This window comes from Homo sapiens, chromosome 7 (assembly GCF_000001405.40).
Source record: "Homo sapiens chromosome 7, GRCh38.p14 Primary Assembly".
Classification (NCBI taxonomy): Eukaryota; Metazoa; Chordata; class Mammalia; order Primates; family Hominidae; genus Homo; species Homo sapiens.
In genome coordinates, this window is record NC_000007.14 from 26,716,570 (window position 1) to 26,737,617 (window position 21,048).

Below are 21,048 nucleotides of genomic sequence, written 5' to 3' on the forward strand. Positions count from 1 at the left end.
ACTAAGTTATATTTATCATTCTTACTTTTATATTATGGCTTAATTTTACCATATTTTCTCTTTGATTTCTTGTTTGTTGCCTTCTTTTGTGTTTACATTGTTTTACGTGGTCACCTTTTATTTACCCTCTGCTTCTTTGAGCAACGCAAGATTGCATTCTATTTCCTTAGTACTTAACTCTAAAATTTTAACATACATTTCCTAACAAAAATTAAAATTAGTATTCCTCTCCTCCGTCCTTCTGAACAGGACAACATCTGGCATGCTTTCACTACCCCCCATCTCCATCTTGCCCCAGCTAACTTTTAAATTATTGCCTAAATTTAGTTTTGCCTCTTTTTTAGATTAAAACAAAGCTTATTTTAAAATAATCAATAAAGTTACTGACACATTTTGCCCATTTCCATGCTCCATCTTTCCTGTGTATTCTCCATCTTTCCTGTGTTCACTCCTTTTCTGGCTGAAGCACATATAACGGGCAGAGCTGGGATTCAAAGTGATGTGTGTTTCCTTCCAGAGCCCCTTCTCACAACCACAACAATCTACTAGTCACAGATACAGAGGAAGGTACTCTGGGTGTCTGCAGCAAGGCGTAGAGCCAGACAAGAGACAGATGGAGAGAAACAGGGGAAGTGGAGGATGGCTTCTAAGCAGGCATTGGCCTGGCACAGTGGCTCATGTCTGTAATCCCAACAGTTTGGGAGGCTGAAGTGGGCAGATCGCTTGAACTCAGAAGTTGGAGACCATCTTGACGACATGGCAAAACACCGTCTCTACAAAAAAATTAAAAATTAGCCAGGCGTGGTGGCATGCACCTGTAGTTCCAGCTACTTAGGAGGCTGAGGTGAGAGGACAGCTTGAACCCAGGAGGTGGAGGTTGCAGTGAGCCAAGATCACATCATTGCATTCTAGCCTGGGTGACAGAGCAAGACCCCATCTCAAAAAAAAAAAAAAAAAAAAAAAAAAAAAAAAAGGGCCAGATGCTGTGGCTCATACCTATAATCCCAGCACTTTGAGAGGCCAAGGTGGGCGAATCACCTGAGGTCAAAAGTTCAAGACCAGCCTGGCCAACATGGCAAAACCCTGTCTCTACTAAAAAAAAAAATACAAAAAATTAGCTGGGCGTGGTGGCGCATGCCTGTAATCCAGGTACTTGGGAGGCTGAGGCAGGAAAATCACTTGAACCTCGGGGGTAGAGGTTGCAGGGAGTTGAGATCATGCCGCTGCACTCCAGAATGGGTGACAGAGCAAGACCCTGTCTCAAAAAAAATAAAAAAATAAAAATAATTAAATTTTTAAAAAATTAAAAAATATTTTTTTAAAAGTGTCAAGATATAAAGACACAAAGCTACTTTTGACACTATCTGCTGGAAGACTCTGCCCATTGGAGACAGAATTTCTATATCAGAAAAGCAAAAACAGAAAACTCATGCGATGAGGATATTATATATATATACATACATACATACATACATACATAAGACATAAATAAACATGGAGGTATGGTAGTAAGTCTAGGCTTAGGCCAAAAAGGGCACTCCTTTGAGGCCTGTGTAAGGATGCTGGGGGATTCCCAACACTTAGGCACAGTGCCTGGCACATAACAGGTACTCAAGAATACTTATGAAATGAAAGAAATGAAAGCAAGGAAGAAGAGAAAGGATGGAAATGAAAATAGGGGAGAGGAATGAGAAAATAAAAGCATGAGAAAGGAGGAAGGTAAAAATGAAATAGGAAGAAAATGAAAGGAAGAAAATTTTACAAAAGGCCAGAAGAAAGTAAATAAAAAGGATCTCTTTTTTGTTTTAAAACTTTTATATGTATATGTATATTTAAAAATAGGCAAAAAAGGAACAAAAAGATTCACATCAAACTGTTAACAAAGTTTACGTAGGGTAGGGAGTGACTTCCACTTTTTTATTTTATTTTAATTTATTTTATTTTATTTTATTTTATTTTTAAGATGAAGTCTCGCTCTGTCACCAGGCTGGAGTGCAGTGGTGAGATCTCGATCTCACCTCCACCTCCCAGATTCAAGCAATTCTCCTGCCTCAGCACCCCGAGTAGCCGGGACTACAGGCACGTGCCACCACGCCCAGCTAATTTTTGTATTTTTAGTAGAGACGGGGTTTCACCACGTTGGCCAGGATGATGTCAATCTCTTGACCTTGTGATCTGCCCACCTCGGCCTCCCAAAGTGCTGGGATTACAGGCATGCGCCACTGCACCCAGCCCCACTTTTTTATTTTATGCACATCAGGAATATTTAAGCTTATTCCAGCAAGCATGTATTGTTTGTAAATAAGGATTTAAAAATTAAGACTTAGTAGCTAGTGAAATGGCTCATGCCTGTAATCCCAGCACTTTGGGAGGATGAGGCAGAAGGATCACTTGAAGCTGGGAGTTCAAAACCAGCCTGGTCAGCATAGTAAGACTCCATTTCTACAAAATTAAAAACTAAAAAATTAGGCATGGCAGCGCATGCCTGTAGTCCCAGCTACTTAAGAGGCTAAGGCAGGAGAAACACTTGAGGAGTTTGAAGCTGCAGTGAGCCATGAATGCACCACTGCACTCCAGCCTGGGCAACAGAGCAAGACCCTATCTTTAAAAAGAAAAAAAAGAAATCTAAGATTTAGCAATAATGAAAGGGAAGTGAACAAATAATATAAAATAATCACACAGTATGGCTTGTTGTGAAGTACATTAAAGTGAGCTCCTCTTCACGGATCCCCTTGGAGGGCTGCCTCCAAGACTTCCCGTCTAACTCCAGGGGCAGAGATCATCTCAATCCTACTAGCCTCTTCAAAGTCCAGGTCCAAAAAGATAGAGAAGTCACATAAAAGGGTTTCCACTTCTCCTAAAGCCACTCGTCAAATTCCAGACAGCCCTGGAATTGCTCAGCCTTGCATTCCCCCAGGATGCCTGACTCCCTTTACAGACAGTCCAATCCCACACCCACCGGTCTTTTCCTTCAGCCTCAAAAGAACAACCCTATCAGAATAGGATAAATCAAGTATTCACACATCTACAAGGTATTTTTAGAAACCTCTTCCTTCCAAGATAGTAGCTCATGAAAATAGAGAAAATGCTTCCTTCATTTTTTATCTTCCTGGCTTGCTCATTTCTACAAGATGGATAGAATTTCAATACTACTCCTTGAAGGAAACGTGATAGGCAAGTCCAGCTGATCTCTTAAAACCTAGAAACATTCTATGTAATCCTAGTTTCATGTATGTAAGAAAACCTGTGTCCATAAAAATGAATTAACTCATATGGAGCTTAGGTTATGAATCTTTATTAATTCAAGTGATAAGAATAAAAAGGTGATAAACCAAAAGTTGTCTATTACATCCCTGTGGCCAGGGTTTTTCAACCTCAGCACTATTGACGTTTGGGCCAGACAATTCTTTGTTGTGGGGGTTGCCCTGTGCATTGTAGGTCGTTTAACAGCATCCTTGGCCCTTACCCACCACATATCTGTAACACACACACACACACACACACACACACACACACACACACACATCCCAGTTATGATAACCAAAAGTGTCTCCAGGCATTGCCAAACATACTCTGGGGTCAATATCTTCCCTGGCTGGGAACCACTGATGTAGCTCCAATTTGCAAAAATGAGTCATTTTATCTCACCACCAGTGGAAATATATGTTTTGTGTGCACACAGATATTTTCGGTTTAGTATGTGTTAAGCCATCCCTTGTAATGAAAGGAATTTGCAATGCCAATGGCAACATAGAGAAAAGCTACAAGACAGGCAGAACTGTATTCCAAAGCTTCATACTATATTATGAAACAACATAAAGAATACTATGAACAAATATTCAGCAAAGACACATTTATATTCAGCAAAGATAAAAATAATAAATATTATATGTGTGTAGTGACCCTATTTTATGAATGATTTCATTTTTTTTTATAACTTCGGATAACCCTCTAAGCAGATTTTAGAGCTGAAACCATCTGTATTAGTCTGTTCTGACTCTGCTAATAAAGACATACCCAAGACTGGCAAATTTATAAAGGAAAGAGGTTTAATTGACTCACAGTTTAGCATGGTTAGGGAGGCCTGAGGAAACTTACAATCATGGCGGAAGGGGAAGCAAACATGTCCTTCTTCACATGGCAGCATCGAGAAGAATGAGTGCCCAGCAAAGGGGTGAGCCCCTTATAAAACCATCAGATCTCATGAGAACTCACTCACTATCACGAGAACTGGATAGGGGACACTGCCCCCATCATTCAATTATCTCCACCTGGTCCCTCCCAGGACACATGGGGATTTTATGGGTACTACAATTCAAGATGAAATTTGGGTGGGGACACAGCCAAACCATATCACCATCCAAAAATTCAACCCTAATCTAGTTATCTACTTGGGAAAAACTATTCCCACAATATCACCACATTGATAACTTCACCATTCAGTACCTAGTTTAAGAAAAAATAATGTTAGCAGGCTGCCTAGACTAACAATATTAAAATACTGAATATATGTGGTTCTATGAAAATTAATTGACATCTTTCCATTGCATTCCAAAGAAGAAAGGAGAAAAATTGTTTGGTGAAGTCAGGATCTACTATCACTTAAAACAATGTTAATACCACAGACTGCAGGGTCCCCTGTAACCCTGATATTAACTTAGTAATATGAGTGATAATTATTCAGGAGGAAAATAAAGCCAAAATGTATTTTGGGGGCCTATAACCACTTATTGACTAAATTAGCATTTGTGTCCATTTGCTGTAAACTACTTCAAATTAAAGTACCCAAACACTGTTCTTTTTTATGTATATATAATAGTCTCATGGAAAAAAATTATAGCTGCATTTTACTTTATGTTCTATTTTAGATGCAGATAGTTGGACTGAATACATTTAAAATGTAATTGAATGGCCAAAGGATAAAAATATCCTTTTCTGACTCAGAATAGTTCAATCTGTCATTGTAATTTAAAAAAAAATGAATTCACACTTAAAAAAAATAGGTTAATGGAATAGAAATTTGTCTTCCTGTTTTATGTTGCCCTCTCTCCTCCAGTCCACTTGCCAGAAGACATTTCAAGTGCAATCCCTCTGAAAGCTACAGATTTAATAAGTTAATGGATGGTTACCATTCTCATTACTAGGCTGATTCTATTCAGTTTAGATCTAGAAAAATCTTTTTGTTGTTGTTGTTTCTGTACAATTTCCTGCCATTAAAGAAAAAAAATCAAGTGACATAGTGAATAGAAGAGAAGAGCAAACAGGGTTGGTTTCTGCAGCAATTTCACGAGTATTATTTTCCCCTTTTGAGATTCAAAATGAGACAAAGACACTCCTCTGTATTTCTAATGAAAAAGTGAGCAATAAATTTACAAACCTGTGCTGAGCCAAATGAACTCATTACCATGTTAAACAGTTTAACACATTTTGATCAATATATTAGCTGCACAAACACAAATATGCTATAGTATTATTACAATGTAAACAAACCTGACTGGCCTATGCTAATAAGCAATAAGACATAAAAGATGTAAAAGGATTAGGATATTTGAAGAAAAGCCAAATACCTTTAATACTCCCCAGAAATGGCATTCTCGCAACTCTTTTGTACATATGTATAAATCCCTTAAACACAAAGAAGTCTTACAAATTTATTCCTATTCCTTTACGAAGTTAGTTAAAAATAAATGAACAAGAAATTAAACAGAAGGTACTGTAATGAAGTTAGAATATTCTAACTGAAAAACAATTACAATGAAACAATTTAGATTCCTGTAGAATTATAAACATTTTTCAAGGGATATTATGCAATGCAATTTTTTTTTTTTTTTTTTTTTTTTGAGACACAGTCTCACTCTGTTGCCCAGGCTGGAGTGTAGTGCCTCAATCTTGGCTCACTGCAGCCTCCGCCTCCCGGATTCAAGTGATTCTCCTGCCTCAGCCTCCTGAATAGCTTGGATTACAGGCACCTGCCACCATGCCCGGCTAATTTTTTATTTATTTTTATTTTTTTATTTTTAGTAGAGACGGGGTTTCACCATGTTGGCCAGGCTCGCTTCGAACTCCTGACCTCAAGTGATCCACCTAACTCGGCCTCCCAAAGTGCTAGGATTACAGGCGTGAGCCACTGCGCCCAGCCCATTGCAATTTTTAAAACCACGTTTTCTTCTTACTCTTGAAACTCAAAACACTGCAGGTTTATTTCATAGTTTTTAAAAAATACACTTATTAGAGTAAGAGCTTTCGTTTCTCAGAAAAAGAGCTTTGTGATTTAAAGTAGCATAATAAATGCTTAGATTTCTCTTCAAATACATTTGTATACCTCATCTTTCAACTAAGAGGATTAGTTTTCAACAATGCATAATTGACAGAAAATTGTGTTGAAATTGTAGTATTATTTAATTCTGGGAATTTAGCCAGTCAGATATCAGAGATACATAGTTCTTTGCACAGAACTGGAAAAATATCAACAGTATGTAAATGTGCTTACTGCTCTTCCATTGTTCTAACTCCTCTATCAAAATTATATTCAAATTTCACAGAAGTGAAAGCAATAAGCTTAATTCTTGTCCTGAAAGAGAGACAATTGTTTTAATTAAAAAAGTTACCTTCCTAGTTTCAGACATTTAATCAAACAAAACCTCTAACTCTGAGACACCTTTAGGGCCTTTACTAGAAAAATCCCCTCTGTAGCCGTTGGCACAAACTTGACAAACTTGCTGAACCGTGCAGATGTTGAAGCAGCTCTCAGTTACATTGGGGAAGAAGGGAACTAGACATTCCACAGCTGCCTACAACGGCTTCCTTCCCGGGGCACAGGTGCAGGCTCCATCAAGCTCGATCACTTTGCAGAGCAACTGGGGATCCCAAGCAGGGGAAAAGAAATTCCAGGGCAGCTTAAATTTCTCCCAGTACCACAGCAAGAAGTAACACTACTTAAAAAGTAACCAGTTACTTCCAACAATTATGTGTGAGGGTGGGTGAGGAGGGGGGCAAGGAAGAATGAAGAATAATATCTCCAGTAAGAAAAAATAAAAGATGTTTCATATTTTTAAAATTTCAAGCTACTCAGACCTTCCTTAGGTCTTTGTTATGAAAATAACTATGAATATCTGGTCTTTATTCCTGATCAATTTTTTTTTTCTTTAGGGGTGGGGAGAGAACAGCCAAGTTGAAAAAATACAGAACTTAACAGTTATTTCAACAATTGTAATGTAACACATTCATTGCAGGGTTTTAAAAGGATGTAATGGCAGTAATATCGTGTTTAAATGTATTCCACTCTTCCATTTTATGAGTATACATTCTCACAAGTTCTTTTAAACATTTTTAAATACTAAAATAATTGTATTAATGATATGGTGTGACCAAAAACAAGCAGCCAGGGAATATTCTTCCCTACTTGAGGATAACTGATGCTACAGCAGATGCCATTTCCTTAGGGTAAACCAGAAAGGAAGGGGTTAATAAACATGTAGCTCCACTAAACAACTGAAATACACAGATCACTATTCCCCATAAAATTATACTTTTATACTAATCTTCTGGGGTAGTAAAATACAATATGTAGATGCATACATAGTTTTTATACCTTAAATTTATAATATTGTTAAAATTATTACTTTTTACTTGGTTAGAAAACCATTACTGTACCACCACATAAGCACTTGCAAGAATTCACCAGATACAATAATAAAACAAAAATGATGGTGATGTTACAATTAATTGTGGGATCAAGCACTATGCTGAAAGCCTTCCATAAATCACTTCACCTACCCCTCCCAATGACATTATTTCCATTTTATAAATGAAGAAATTAACTTATAAAGTCACTAAGCTAGTCAATGGTACAGCCAGAATTTAAATTTTTTTCTTCTAAAGTCCATACTCTTGGTATTATGCTGTATTGTCTTGAAAATGACATTTGTACATTAATTTGGAACATTTTAAGTATTTTTGAAATCAATTTTAAAGGTTTAACATTACATCATTAAATTGTTATATTCAGAGCAAAATGGCCTCTCTACATGAGATGTACTAGTTAAATCTTGCTTATATTGCTTATGATACCTTTTTCTTCTCTAACTACTGATTTTTTAATAGCCAAAAAAGCTCATTTCAGCCTAGAGTATTAGTAATACAATTTCCTAAATGTTTTCATATGTTTCCTAAATTTCAGATGTCTTTTTATTTTAGATTGATCCTCATGGCCGCAAGTCAAGTAGCTAATAGATAATTAATTTTATGTTACATAACAGACAGGCATGTAAACACTAAACTAGGTCTGAGCATTTGGAATAAGAAAACTTTTTTATTCCATATTGATGCTAAAATATCAACAGGAAGACTTGAAGCCTCAAAAGGCCTTTGTTTATAGTTCAACAACATTCCTCTGAGACAGTGCAATATACTACAAGCAAGGAGAAATACGAGGCAGAAGTTGGTAACATCTGGGGTGTGCATAGAACTTCTGGTTAATGGAAGTTCCAAGATGTATAAATAAAAAACGATGTGTGAGTTGGTGGAAAAAACTGTAAGGCAAGTCAATTTTTTAATTAAAAAATTATGTAGCATAAACAATGCTAATGAGCCACAAGTCCCAAGAGATTAGTATTGTATCTGCTTCATTTTAATGTTTCATTCACTTTTCGTAAGTTACATCTACTCACTTGAAATATCTCAAGCAGAACCCTTTTTGTAAAATAGAGTTTTGAAGATATTCTTTGTCCTTGTTCTCAATAGGTCACCATTTTCTACTCAAGCTGTCGAGGACAAATCACACACACAAACACACACACACACTCACACACACACACACAGCCCTAAAATCTTTAAATGAATCACCAGAAAGTAAATACCTGGAAGTTCTTCATAAATTTCATCATCTATTGGTTGACTGCTTGTTAGTGGATTGCTTATTGGTAGAGGATGATCAACATCATCATATAATTCTCCTCTCTCATCATAATCCTCAGGAATAATATCAGATTCCATATCTATAAAACACATTTCATGAAGTAAATTTTAAAAGAATGCAGAAGATATTTTTAAAACTATACTTTATAAATAAATGCAGCCCTACAAAGCAACAACAATATTGTTATATGTTATGTCCTTAACTAAAAACATGTTTAAAAATTGTTTTGTAAATATGTGAATTTTAAAGTAAGCCAATTGGTACTTATAGAAAAGATGCTGTTTAAAATCTGAAGTGAGTGGTCTGTATTAATAACAGTCACATTCAAGTTGGTCATTCTCACAGAAGTCAATAAGCTTTTGTATATGAAAACCCAAACTACTCTGTTATTTAGTATTTAAAGACTGTGATAACTTGTTCGATTGATTTATCTTACCTTGCAATACAAATTTCAGCTGCTGTACCCATTCTTCAGCATCTTTGGGAGAAGCTGCTGTAAACTAATATAAAACAAACAGTAAGAACGAAAATCACCATAGTAGGAATGAAAGGTATGTTGTATTCTTACCATTTCTTTAAGACTATTAGTAATTCTTTTCATGTCTAGTGGAACTTTTCTTGCAAGGATGCTTCTTATAATGTACAGTTAATTTTGACAAATTTATGCAATTGAAGCAGAGGATGATGAATTTCAAACGCTGATCAGCAGCTGGCAGCTGTGCAGGAAAAAAAGCTGCTTCTCTTTCATCAATGTCAAAGACAGAACTGATGAACAAAATTTGCCCTTGACAATTAGAAGACACCCATGAATTTCTTTAGACTGCTGCACACAGTTTTCTTAAAAATGTTCTTGTCAGATTCCAACACACTACCTGACAACTTAATTAACTGGCTTTCAACTGCAATCTCAGATATTTAAAACTTATTAAACATACATTCCATATTGATGCCTAGCTGATAGCTATTGAATTGCAGAGCTGATGTGTACTTTTACCTTCATTTTCTCCCACACTCCTAAGCAATACAATATGTATTATCACTCTGATATTTTTGTTTTAATAATTTTACTCTTTCTGCTATGTAATTCTTTTGGAAGATCACCTAGTGCTATGCAACATGTGATCACCTATGTTCTATGCAACATGTGTGCAACATGTGAAGTAATTGATAAATTATATATTCTCTTTATCTTTTTCAAGAAGATAGTGTGTGAATTAATCTGAAATTTTTAAAAATTTCCTCTTATATGAATGTTCAATGCATAATATATTTAAACATCAGTATTTTTATTATTGTTAACATGTCAAGGAAAGTATTAATCAAATGTTAATGTCTCTATAAATGAAATCAAAACATTTTATCAACTTAATTTCAAGGCAACATAAAAACTACAACCTGATATATACGTTTATCAGGAGCAGAGATTTCAAAACAGCAATCTTTCTTTCCATCCTTTCTTAGAGTGTTATTCATTCTGACACTGTAGCCATCTATTGCAAATTCACCTTTCTGTTGTTTGTCTGTTGAAGATAAAACCAGTTAGAATTTCATTTACTAAGTATTAATGCTCAATTATCTTTTATGTAAAATTTCTTCATCAATTCTTGGAAATAACATTTTTTGGTCATATTGCTTTAGTAATATAATGCTTAGGTAATGTTTTTAGAAATCATTTTTAATTCTGAAACATGGAAGTATTAGGGATGATTGGACTTACAAGGAGGTCTGCAGATCATGGTCTTATTTGGAAGGAAGTATGGAAACATGACACTCTAGGGTAGGGAAAATTCAGGAACTAGAACATAGAACTTGCTAGACAAACCCACCACAAACCTTTGGCTCTTTCAGATTTAGTAGGCCAGTGGGAAGATCTGTCCAGCTGAAAACTTGTCGGGCTTTATCTACTGTTATCTCCTTTCACCTATCCCTCCCCAGCACCACCACCAAAAAGAAGCTTCTAAAACAAAAGTTTTCTTTAAAAAAGGTCTCCTAACTTGGTACAAATTTATCTCTAACCTTACAAAGCAAACCAAAACTAAACTAAACTACTCATGACGAAAAAGATGTGAAGGAAAAAAAAACTATGTGGATAAAGAAGAGTGGTAAAGCAAGTACAGAAGCATTAGTTACCAAAAATAGAGGGAAAGTTTCTTATCCAGTCAGTGAACAGTTAAACTAGTAAAGCACATTTGAATCTCACATGATAAAGAGGCAAAAGATGATTACAGCTTTGGTCAGATATTATTTTAAAGACAAGTAAAGTGCGAATATAACAAAGGACTTAATATTCTGAAACTGAAAATAAAATTAGTCAACCTTCCTACTTCACCCAGTTACACCATTTTGATAGAAAAACTATACAGCTATAGGTTTATTTCCTAGATTAACAAACAATATTAAAACCATGAGTAGGGACAAACTCTTTTACTGAGCTCGGGGCAAATACAGAAATGCTTTCGTGTTGTGGGGTGTGCTTTCTCAGTTCAGTGTACCAATAAAAGATACATCTCCTTTTCTTAAATACACAAGTTAAATGCCTAAAGTAACTAACATATGTTAGGTCATAGAGATTATATCTTGTTCAAAATATCAAATGAGAAAAAAAATCTCAGTTCCTGGGAAACTCTAATCACATTTAGTCATAATTTACATCTCTCTGAATGTCTAAAGAAACAATCAAAGTTTATTTCATGAAAAAATTCTACAATAAACTCTATGTTTTTCACAAAAACGATACAGTACTTTAAAGATTAGAGAAGCATTTCCCAAAGATATTAATAGGTTTCTGTGATCAAATCAATTTGGGAAACGTTTTGCCGAATTAAACAAGAGTTAAGCAGTTTTGTTAGTTCAGGCCTTCTTGGAGCCCTTAGTACATTTACATAGTAATTAAACTTCTATAAGAAAAATTTAGTATGCAGCATTTCCAAAAATTATTTGTCCGCGGAATCATTTTTCACAGAATATTTTATGGTACTCCCAGGATATATTTCGTAAGACACCTAACTAGGAAACTATTGGGAAAAAAGTATTAAAATGATAAATGGTTAAGCATGGTTGGTTCTTGTAAATTCTCAAAAAAAGACTAAATCATTCACTCACTCATTTGACAAATTGATACCAAGCACTTAAAACCAGCACGCAGCATTATAGGTTTGCCGAGATAAAAGCTAGAACACCTTATCAGATCTTTCGCGCCACCTTCCCAATGATCTACTAAATTGCAAAAGGAACTTAATGTTCACTACGAAAAGTGGAAGTAATGTGAGGCAAAATATCAAAGCCATATTGGACAATTTTGAGAGAGTTCCTTAAACTCTCCAGAAGAAAGAGAAATTTCAGGGACCAGATTTAGAGGAAAGCTGCTCCCTTGCTGCGCAAGGGTTCAATCGCTCCACTCACCAGGTCCATCTGACCTAAAACCTATGCCTTCTACCTCCAATTTCGGTCTAAAATTCTCATCAATGTAACTTGAATGCAGGTGGAAATGCATGAGGAGTGGGAGTCTACACCTGGAGATATAAAATCAGCACTATAAAGATTTAGTTTGGAAGAGCTGAGGGGAACAGATCTTTCTGGGCCAGATTATCTAATAATCTAGAAATAAGACAATTAGGCAGCAAAATTAGGCAACCCCAACTCAGACTAGCAGATTCATTTTAGCCAAACCCCCTAGAAATATGCTATGGGGCTATGTATCAGAACTTCTGATACAGTCCAAGAGGAGGACAGTATCAGCCTCTACTGAGATGAACCAGAGAGAAGCCACAAATCCAATTTATAGGTAAGCATCTCAGATTTCATAGACATGTACTTGTTCGAGGATAAGAAAAGAGGAACAGCAAATACAGATGCCATAAAAATATTATGTAAAACAGAAACATAACATAGCACTTGAGAAGTAGAAAGCACAAGCGAAGTAGGAGAAATGAAGGTAAACTTTAGCCAACTGCTTTGCATATTTTATAAAAGTAAACAGATTCTGAAAGAGATGAAAGATGAAACAATGTAATATAAAATAAAAAGAGGAAAGGCTGAGACAAGTAGAAATTAAAATGAAACTGGCAAAATAAGGAACAAATATGCTGTATAAGGAAGTGGAAAATGCAGCAGCAAAACAAATGATGTATTAGAAGTGATAAAAAGTAGAACTAACATTGTGGAAAATCAGATCAGATATACCTTGAAAAGCTCACTCAGCAGATAGAAAATAAGAATAAGGGGATGGGGAAGGGACAAAAGGGAGTATGATAAATATGGAGGGCTGACAAAAATACAACATAAGAAAAATGGGTTTTCTGGAAGAAGAGTAATAAATAAATGCCAATAACCAAAGACATAATATAGCAAAAGAAAACTTCATTCCATCAAAGAAAGACCTAACTTTGCAGAACAAAATGTGCTGTTGTTTAACCAAGTAAAAATAATAAAAAGAAACTAATATCTAGACCTATCCAACTGATTGTTTGTATTTGAGGATAAACAATTATATAAACATCCAAGTCGGGTAGGGATATGGGCCCAGAAAGGTTGAACAGAGGAAACTCACAACTCTTTCTAATAGCTTTTGCAGAACCATAACCATGAAGTAGCCATATCTCCAATTAGCCAATACAGGACAGGAAGTTCAAGACGTGAAATGGGCAGACATGGCTATAAGACAACACTGTTCTCCTCCTTTCACATTAGTTTCTCTTCTGGAGAGAGAAACTTCACCATTATGTGGTAAGTCATAAGAATTTACATATAGATTAGTTCCACAATTGCTTTTTGGGATAGTTTCAAGGATACCTGTTAACAAAATTATCAAAAATAGTAAAATGCCAATCAAATAGGAAATAAAGCTATAAAGTCCATTTACCCAGCACTGTGAAAGACTAATATTTTATCTAGGTGAACTTCACAAATAGCAAAAGCTTATTCCTTTAAGTGCCAAAACTTTTAAAAATGTTAATCATTGTGATGGAAAGCTTTCTAAAATATATACTTGCCTAACTTCTCAAACAAATCTTTTAAACATAACATTTTTTTCTTAACATAGTATCATTTTGAGTATTAGTTTTTATAACACATTGATGCCTTCAGAATTTTTGAGGTGTTTGTTCCTCTATTACATTTCTCTCAGCTTCTGTTTCACACTTTAACCTAACCTCTATCATGCTGTTTGAATGTAATGTCTACAGAACTGAAGGCTGCCAGGAAAAACTAGATAATGAAATCTATTATATCAGTAACTTAATTTTACACAATCCTAATTCAGCAGGTTCAAGGTAAAAAGCAGTTGGCTCTGATTTCCTACAAAACAAAATGCATAAGGCTAATAAGAGCAATTTCCTTCTACTTTTTCACTGGCTTTTAGGTTTACAGCTGTGTTCTGGGGGTTTTTTAAGCTGTCAAAAAGACAACTCACATTTACTGAGCTTCTACATGTCAAGAACTTAATAGAACATATCTCATATACACCTGGTAATAATTCTAAGCAATAGAGGAGACATATTATATTCCCAGCACTGATGGGAAAACAAACTTTAACCAATTTGCTCACGGTCACACAAATAGTAAACAGTAAAAGCCAGGACCCTAGGAAAGTCTGGTTCTAAAGCCTTGCTTTTTCAGCCATTTCACACTGTTTTCTAAAAAGGTGTTTCTCAAAGTATATTTTAAGAATCACCTATGTTAGAATCAACTTGGACGCCTGTTAACACAGAATTGGCTACCACTCTGCACTTGCTATATAGGAATCTCTGTGGGTGAGTCTAGGAAACCAAATTTTTAGCAAGCACCCCAGGTGATTTTGATACACACTACAACCACTGTCCTCAATACAATGTGAAATATACAAAATCACGGTAGAGAAGATAAATGTTATTTTGCATTTCGTCCTACAACTTAGGTCAAACTTTCTCAGCTTTCTTTATGGGTTCCTCTACCTCTGCCTATCTCTTAAAAAGCTATGATGCGTTGTTCTAAGTCTTGCTCTCTTCTTACATTACACTCTCCCTGGGCAATCTCATCTAATTCCAAGAATTAAATTCCTATCAATATACTTGTGACTCATGATTCTCTACTTTTAGTTCATTTTCAAAACTGTTTATCCAAATCTTCATCTGCTCACTAAATATGTTTCATTTCTCAAATGTCCTATAGGCTCATTGAATAGAAAGTGCCCACAATGGAGATCATCTTATCCCCACTCCCAACACTTGTGATGCCAACAACTGTGATATTTCTTGTTGTATCCCCCATCTCAATAAATGGCACCTCCATTAATTCAAGCTCCCAAACCAGAAAACTGGGCACCATTTTTTATTTTGCCCTTACCTTCACCAACTGCCCCGACGTTACCCCCTACACTCCAATGCCACCTACCAAAATCTAAACAGACCTTCTATTTTTCTGGCAAATATACTTGTTTTTTCTCTTCTTCATTGGCTCTCAGAAAAATATGCTTAAAACACCAACCACTCTCATACCATTTTAAATACAGCATAAATATTGCAACCAAATAATTCCAAATCCTTTAGCATCCCTACAAGTTATGGACATTTATTATTTGGGGCTCCCCAGCATCCATGCATCTTTCCTATTTTAATTCCAAGATTGTCAGGGATAGGGCTTAGTTTTCCATCACAGAAGCTGGAGAGAGATGGATTTTCCCTGTTCCAACTTAATCAAAGTGGATGCTCCAGACTGGAACCTAAATCTCCAGTAAGTAACAAAAGGATCAAGAGAGGGTTCAGAATCCATTCTGGTGGCAATGGCACTCACTGATTGATGGCAGTGCACAGTGGCAACATCACATGTCCTGGCTTGGCAAGGCCCAAGCCAGCAGTGTGTCCCAATAAGATTTTTCATGGATTATGCTCAAGATCCAGCCCCCTTACCTACCTTAGTTCTTGCTTGCTTGCTGAGCCTGTGTGTAGCATTCTTAGCAATTCTGAGAGCTGATATTTTCCTAATAATTTCCCTTTCTGCATAAACAAAGTTGGTTTCCGATGCTTATACCAAGAACACTAACTTGGCACAAATGGCTAGCAAACAAAAATATGAAATGTGTTCAGCAATATCTACTACTTATATTTAAGAAGGCCTTTTCCCTTCAGTGAATAACTTACGTTATTTCCACAAGTATTAGTACTCATTAGTAGGGAAAAGAAAAATATGCCCATCAATACTAGACCTTGCCACTAAATTTTATCAAACTGACTAGCAAGATGTTCCAGCTCCTCAGTTAAAGATATATGAACATTCTCCTTTGGTTTATACAGCTTGCAGATGCCAATGCTAAATCAGCCACTTGAAATATATCTCTGGGGTTTTGTGTAGAAGTGAGACTAGATATCAAACCAACAACATTCGTGGTCATCAGACCCTTAGTAAAACTTGGTTTGTACCTGACTATTTCTGCATGTTGATGAAATCCTACTAAACATCAGATGTACATTTTAACTTCTATATACTGTTAGAGAGTCTCTTAGCCATAAAGGCAGAAAATAAAGGCATAGCTTTAATTTAATGTTTGTAATCCCAGCTACTCAGGAGGCTGAGGCAGAAGAATCGCTTGAACCCGGGAGGCGGAGGTTGCAGTGTGCTGAGATCATGCCACTGCACTCTGGCCTGGGCAACAGAGCGAGACCCCGTCTCAAAAAAAAAAAAAAGTTTATTGTGATAAGTTTTAAAGTTAATACTTTCATATCAAAGACCCAAAAGTCTATAAAATTGTAATAATTTCTGATAAAAGTAGAATTAATGGTTCCTATTTCTTAAGGAATAAAGATATCCTTCACATACCAGATGGAAACAGAATTGCAATTTAAATTTTTTAAATATCAGAATTCACTTACACATTTAATATATATCATCTTGATATAATTATAAAATTATATAATTACAATTATAAAATGACAGAATTTGTTTCTGTCAAATGAATCAGAAGAAAAAAGGTAAGCTTTTATGGCTTTCTATTAAGTTGTTGTTACAAAACAACAGAACTTTTAATTATACAAATATAAGTACTGTCACTTTAACATATTCAAAACAATATTAAAAGAGAAATATGATGCTTTTTCAACATCAAAATATATTTTATAATTTTCAAACTTCAAAGAGAACATATATGTCCTCTTTTTTTCCTATCAACGGTGAAGTTGTGGAGAAGGGGAGAGCAGGGAGGTAAATTTCAATGAAAAATTTTATTTCTCTGCCAAGTTCTGAAATTTTGTTATCTTAAATTCTCCATATTAAGCCCAATTTTCTACGGACTTTTATTATATATTGAAAAGATATTACAATGAAAAAATTAAAACCATATGATGTAAGAAATAACCTTTGAATGACTTTGTAGATCAGGGCTACTTGTAGCTCCCATTTACTAGACGGTGCTAGTGTATTCTTTAATCAGGTTTCAGCAAAAGCCCTGAGAGGAGGTACTAAGAACTGACAATCCCCTCCTTAAAAATGGGGAGAGACTAGGTTCATATCATAATGTTGATTCAAGATCATATAGAAGATAAACAGAAAAAAGGGAAAAAACACACAATAGTTTAGAACAGGTTCCTAAATGGTCCACCACTTATGGGCACCTTGGAGGGGTTGGTAATAATCATCAAGTTGTAGAAAAAGCATAACTTTGGAGGCAGAGAGATCTGCATTAAATCCTCGCTCTGCCTCTCAACAGCCCTGTGTTGACCTCTCTTGTTTAGACTACTTCGAAGTCCTGCTAAATGGTCCTGTTGACCCAGACTCTATCCATCCCAATCCATTCTCCATCATCCTATTACAATTACTTCCTAAAAACCAAATCTGGTCATACAATCCTCTGCTTAAAGGTCATATTCAAAATAAAATCTTTAGCAAGGCCCTTATTCTCAGAAGGTTCTTACCAACCTGGTCTAATCCACTTATTTAGCCTTACGTGCTCCCTCCCCTCACTCATTCTAAGCTCCAGCCTTCATTCCATTTTTGATCCCATCCACAGTCTTTCACAACTCAGAATCTCTGCTATTCCCTTACCTGGAAAGCCCATTTTACCCTTCTTCCCTGTCTTAGTCTGTTTATGCTGCTATAATACCCAAAACTGGGAAATTTATAAACAATAGAAATTTATTTCTCACAGTTCTGGGAGCTGGGAAGTCCAAGATCAAGGCACCAGCAGGGTCAGTGCCTAGTGAGGGCTGCTCTCTGCTTCAAGATGCCACCTTGTTGCTGCATCCCCCAGAAGAGTTGAATGCTGTACCGTCACATGGCGGAAAGGCAAGAGAGGGGTTCCACAGCTCTCTCTAGCCTTTTTTATAGAGACATATCCCATTCTTGAGGGTAAAGCCCTCATGCCTTAATCACCTCCCAAAAGCCCCAGCTCTTAATACAATATCCTTGGGAGTTAATTTCCAACATATGAATTTTGGAGGTACACATACATTCACACCATAGCATTCAACCAACAAACTCCTACTCATTCTTTCAGGCCCAATGAAGTGTTCTCTCCACCAGGACATCTTCCCTAACTTCCCTAGGCAATTAGTTTCCCTCCTTTGTGATCCAAAGATACCTTATTTAAATTACTTACTGTACTGCATTGAAATGGTCAGTTTACCTGCCCAGCTCCCTCCTCCAACCCCACAGCATCCTTCCCTCTCTCACTGATATCCACAAAACCCAAACTGTGAGCACCTCTAAGGATCTTTGGATCCTCAGTGCCTACTAGCTAACAAGTGCCTGAAAAAATATTTATCAAATTTAGAAAAAGAATGAGTAAGTGAATGAATGAATGAATGACTTGAAGGACATCTGAACATCTAGGACCTAAGAATTTTGATGAATAAGACTCACGACAATCAAAGGAAAAGGAAGGATATGAAAGGATGAATAAGATTTCATAAGGTGTTAAAATACATACTATATGTATTTGTTACTTAAGGGTCCCAAATGGCTATAAATAATAAATACAGACAATATTTATTGGTACAATGGTAAGTGCATTATTTACCCAACAGGTTGGAACTACTCTTTCTAAGCCACTCCTATCTTGATAGGTCAATATGTTTTTTGGCACACGCAATATGGTAGAAAATGTGAACTATGTATCTGTCAAACAGTAACAAAGCACAGTTTAACCTAGTAAGTGGTGTCAACTCCTTCTGTGCCTCTATAATCCATTTATCTAAATCCTACTTAGTTGGAGGATTATAGTTCTCATATAGCTAGATATGAGTTCTTCCCATTAGGTAAATGGTTCACACATACAGTAAACAAGGCTATAAAAAATCATATCTAATTTCACAAAAGAAAAAAATTATTTGACATATTTTCCTGGTAAGAAAAAGATATAAAGGAAGGAAATCGGGATCATGCCAAACAAGTAATTAAAAACTGTCTAAAGACAGATCTTTTTTTGGAGTCCCTTAAAAGAGAGGAACTGGCTAAAAATTTCGAATGAAACCGCCAATAGAAAAAAGAACCACAAGAAACAAATCTAAAATTTCACTGGAAACAGGAGGCTGCAAAGTAAAAGGGAAAAATTTAAGGAAACACAAGCCACATCTTCAGACATCAACATGAAAAAGGAATGCTAAAATGGTAATTTTTTTAAAGTGGAAGTGTCAGAGGCTTTTAAACCAGAGCAACTCCGTCTTGAATAGGGGCTGAGTAAAATAAGGCTTTGACCTATGGGGGCTGCATTCCCAGGAGGTTAGGCATTCTTAGTCACATGATGAGATAGGAGGTTGGCACAAGGTACAGATCACAAAGACCTTGCTGATAAAAGGATGCAGGAAAGCAACTGGCCAAAACCCACCAAAATCAAGATGGTGATGAAAATGACCTTTGGTTTTCCTCACTGCTCATTATATGCTAATTATAACGCATTAGCATGCTAAAAGACACTCCTACCAGTGCCATGATAGTTTACAAATGCCATGGCAACATCAGGAAGTTACCCTATATGGCTTAAAAAGGGGGAGAAACCCTCAGTTCTGAGAATTGCCAACCCCAGTTCAGGAAAACTCATGAATAATCCACTGCCTGTTTAGCATATAATCAAGAAGTAACAATAAGTGTAAGCAGCTGAGCAGCCTATGCTCTGCTTTGCCTATGGAGTAGTGATTCTTTTGTTTCTTTACTTTCTTAATAAACTTGCTTTCACTTCCCTCTACGGATTGGCCTCAAATTCTTTCTTGCATGAGATCCAAGAACCCTCTCCTGGGGTCTGGATCAAGACCCCCTTCCAGTAACAGAAATGACAGAAAGGGCTAAATGGATCACAAAGTAGTTAAAATGCAAATTACAAACAATGTTACTACCATTAGGTCTCATCAAATAAGAATAAAAATGAACTCAGGAATTCAAGATTGCAGTAAGCTATGATGGCACCACTGCACTCCAGCTTGGGTGACAGAGTGAGGCCCCCGCATCTCTAAAAAGAAAAAAAAAAAAAGGAATGTAACTAATATCTAAATAACTCTAACTAAAATGTTTTCATTGAATATATTAGTGTTTGAAGTAAATATTAACACGCTTTGGGTTTTGGGGAAACTCTTGCTAATCTTTGACCTAACCATTGTTATATGCCAGTCAGGACTAGAAATGGAGGAAACACTGACATTAGTATTCATTGATTCTTAAAGAAATTAGAAATGAGAAGCCTAATTGAATCAAAGTCACAAGGATCTGAAACCTCCCTCCCCTGGTCTGGTGAAAAAGAGGATATTTTGTGGAAGGTAGTATCTCGATCTAAATTCACAATATCATACAAAACTATATTTCTATGATCTGTGATAATCGTAACTGAACTTGGACTCTAAATTTTCTGACCTACTTCACTACTGACCCTTAGCAGAAGAAAGATGCTTGTTTATAGCTGTTTACAGTTTACACTTCACTGATGCCATTACTACATCTGAACATACTGTAAATTAGTGATGGAATGCAAACTAGCTACTAAATTAATTAATTTGTTAATCTCATTAGCCAAAAGGTAAGAACAACTTCCAGCATTATGTAAGTATTTCAGACTTATCTGAAATATGACAATCTTACCTGTATGTTTTTAGAATGGGGGAAAAAACTCTAAAAACTATAAATAATGTCAAATAAAACATAAATTTCCAAACAACACTGATAACAATTCCATAGGA

The 21,048-nt window shown here is 35.9% G+C and overlaps 1 protein-coding gene across 4 annotated transcripts in view, besides 1 other annotated feature; it reads right to left on the reverse strand.

Annotated features, from left to right (window-relative positions):
* Positions 1 to 21,048, reverse strand: part of SKAP2 (src kinase associated phosphoprotein 2) — a 209,821-nt gene that overhangs the window by 61,800 nt on the left and 126,973 nt on the right. For all 4 annotated transcript variants that reach the window (XM_017012771.3, NM_003930.5, NM_001303468.2 and 1 more), the window contains 3 exons: positions 10,313 to 10,437; positions 9,354 to 9,417; positions 8,859 to 8,996 (listed from right to left, as the gene is read on the reverse strand). In XM_017012771.3, the coding sequence (XP_016868260.1) occupies positions 8,859 to 8,996; positions 9,354 to 9,417; positions 10,313 to 10,437 (327 nt within the window). The remainder of the gene's footprint in view (positions 1 to 8,858; positions 8,997 to 9,353; positions 9,418 to 10,312; positions 10,438 to 21,048) is intronic.
* Positions 17,989 to 18,311: a silencer, noted in NCBI's record as "fragment chr7:26774177-26774499 (GRCh37/hg19 assembly coordinates)". NCBI's record gives its function as "represses an EF-1alpha promoter that drives an FKBP-Casp9 reporter gene in an ReSE screen in HepG2 liver carcinoma cells {active_cell/tissue: HepG2}" and the evidence as "EXISTENCE:reporter gene assay evidence [ECO:0000049][PMID:32094911]".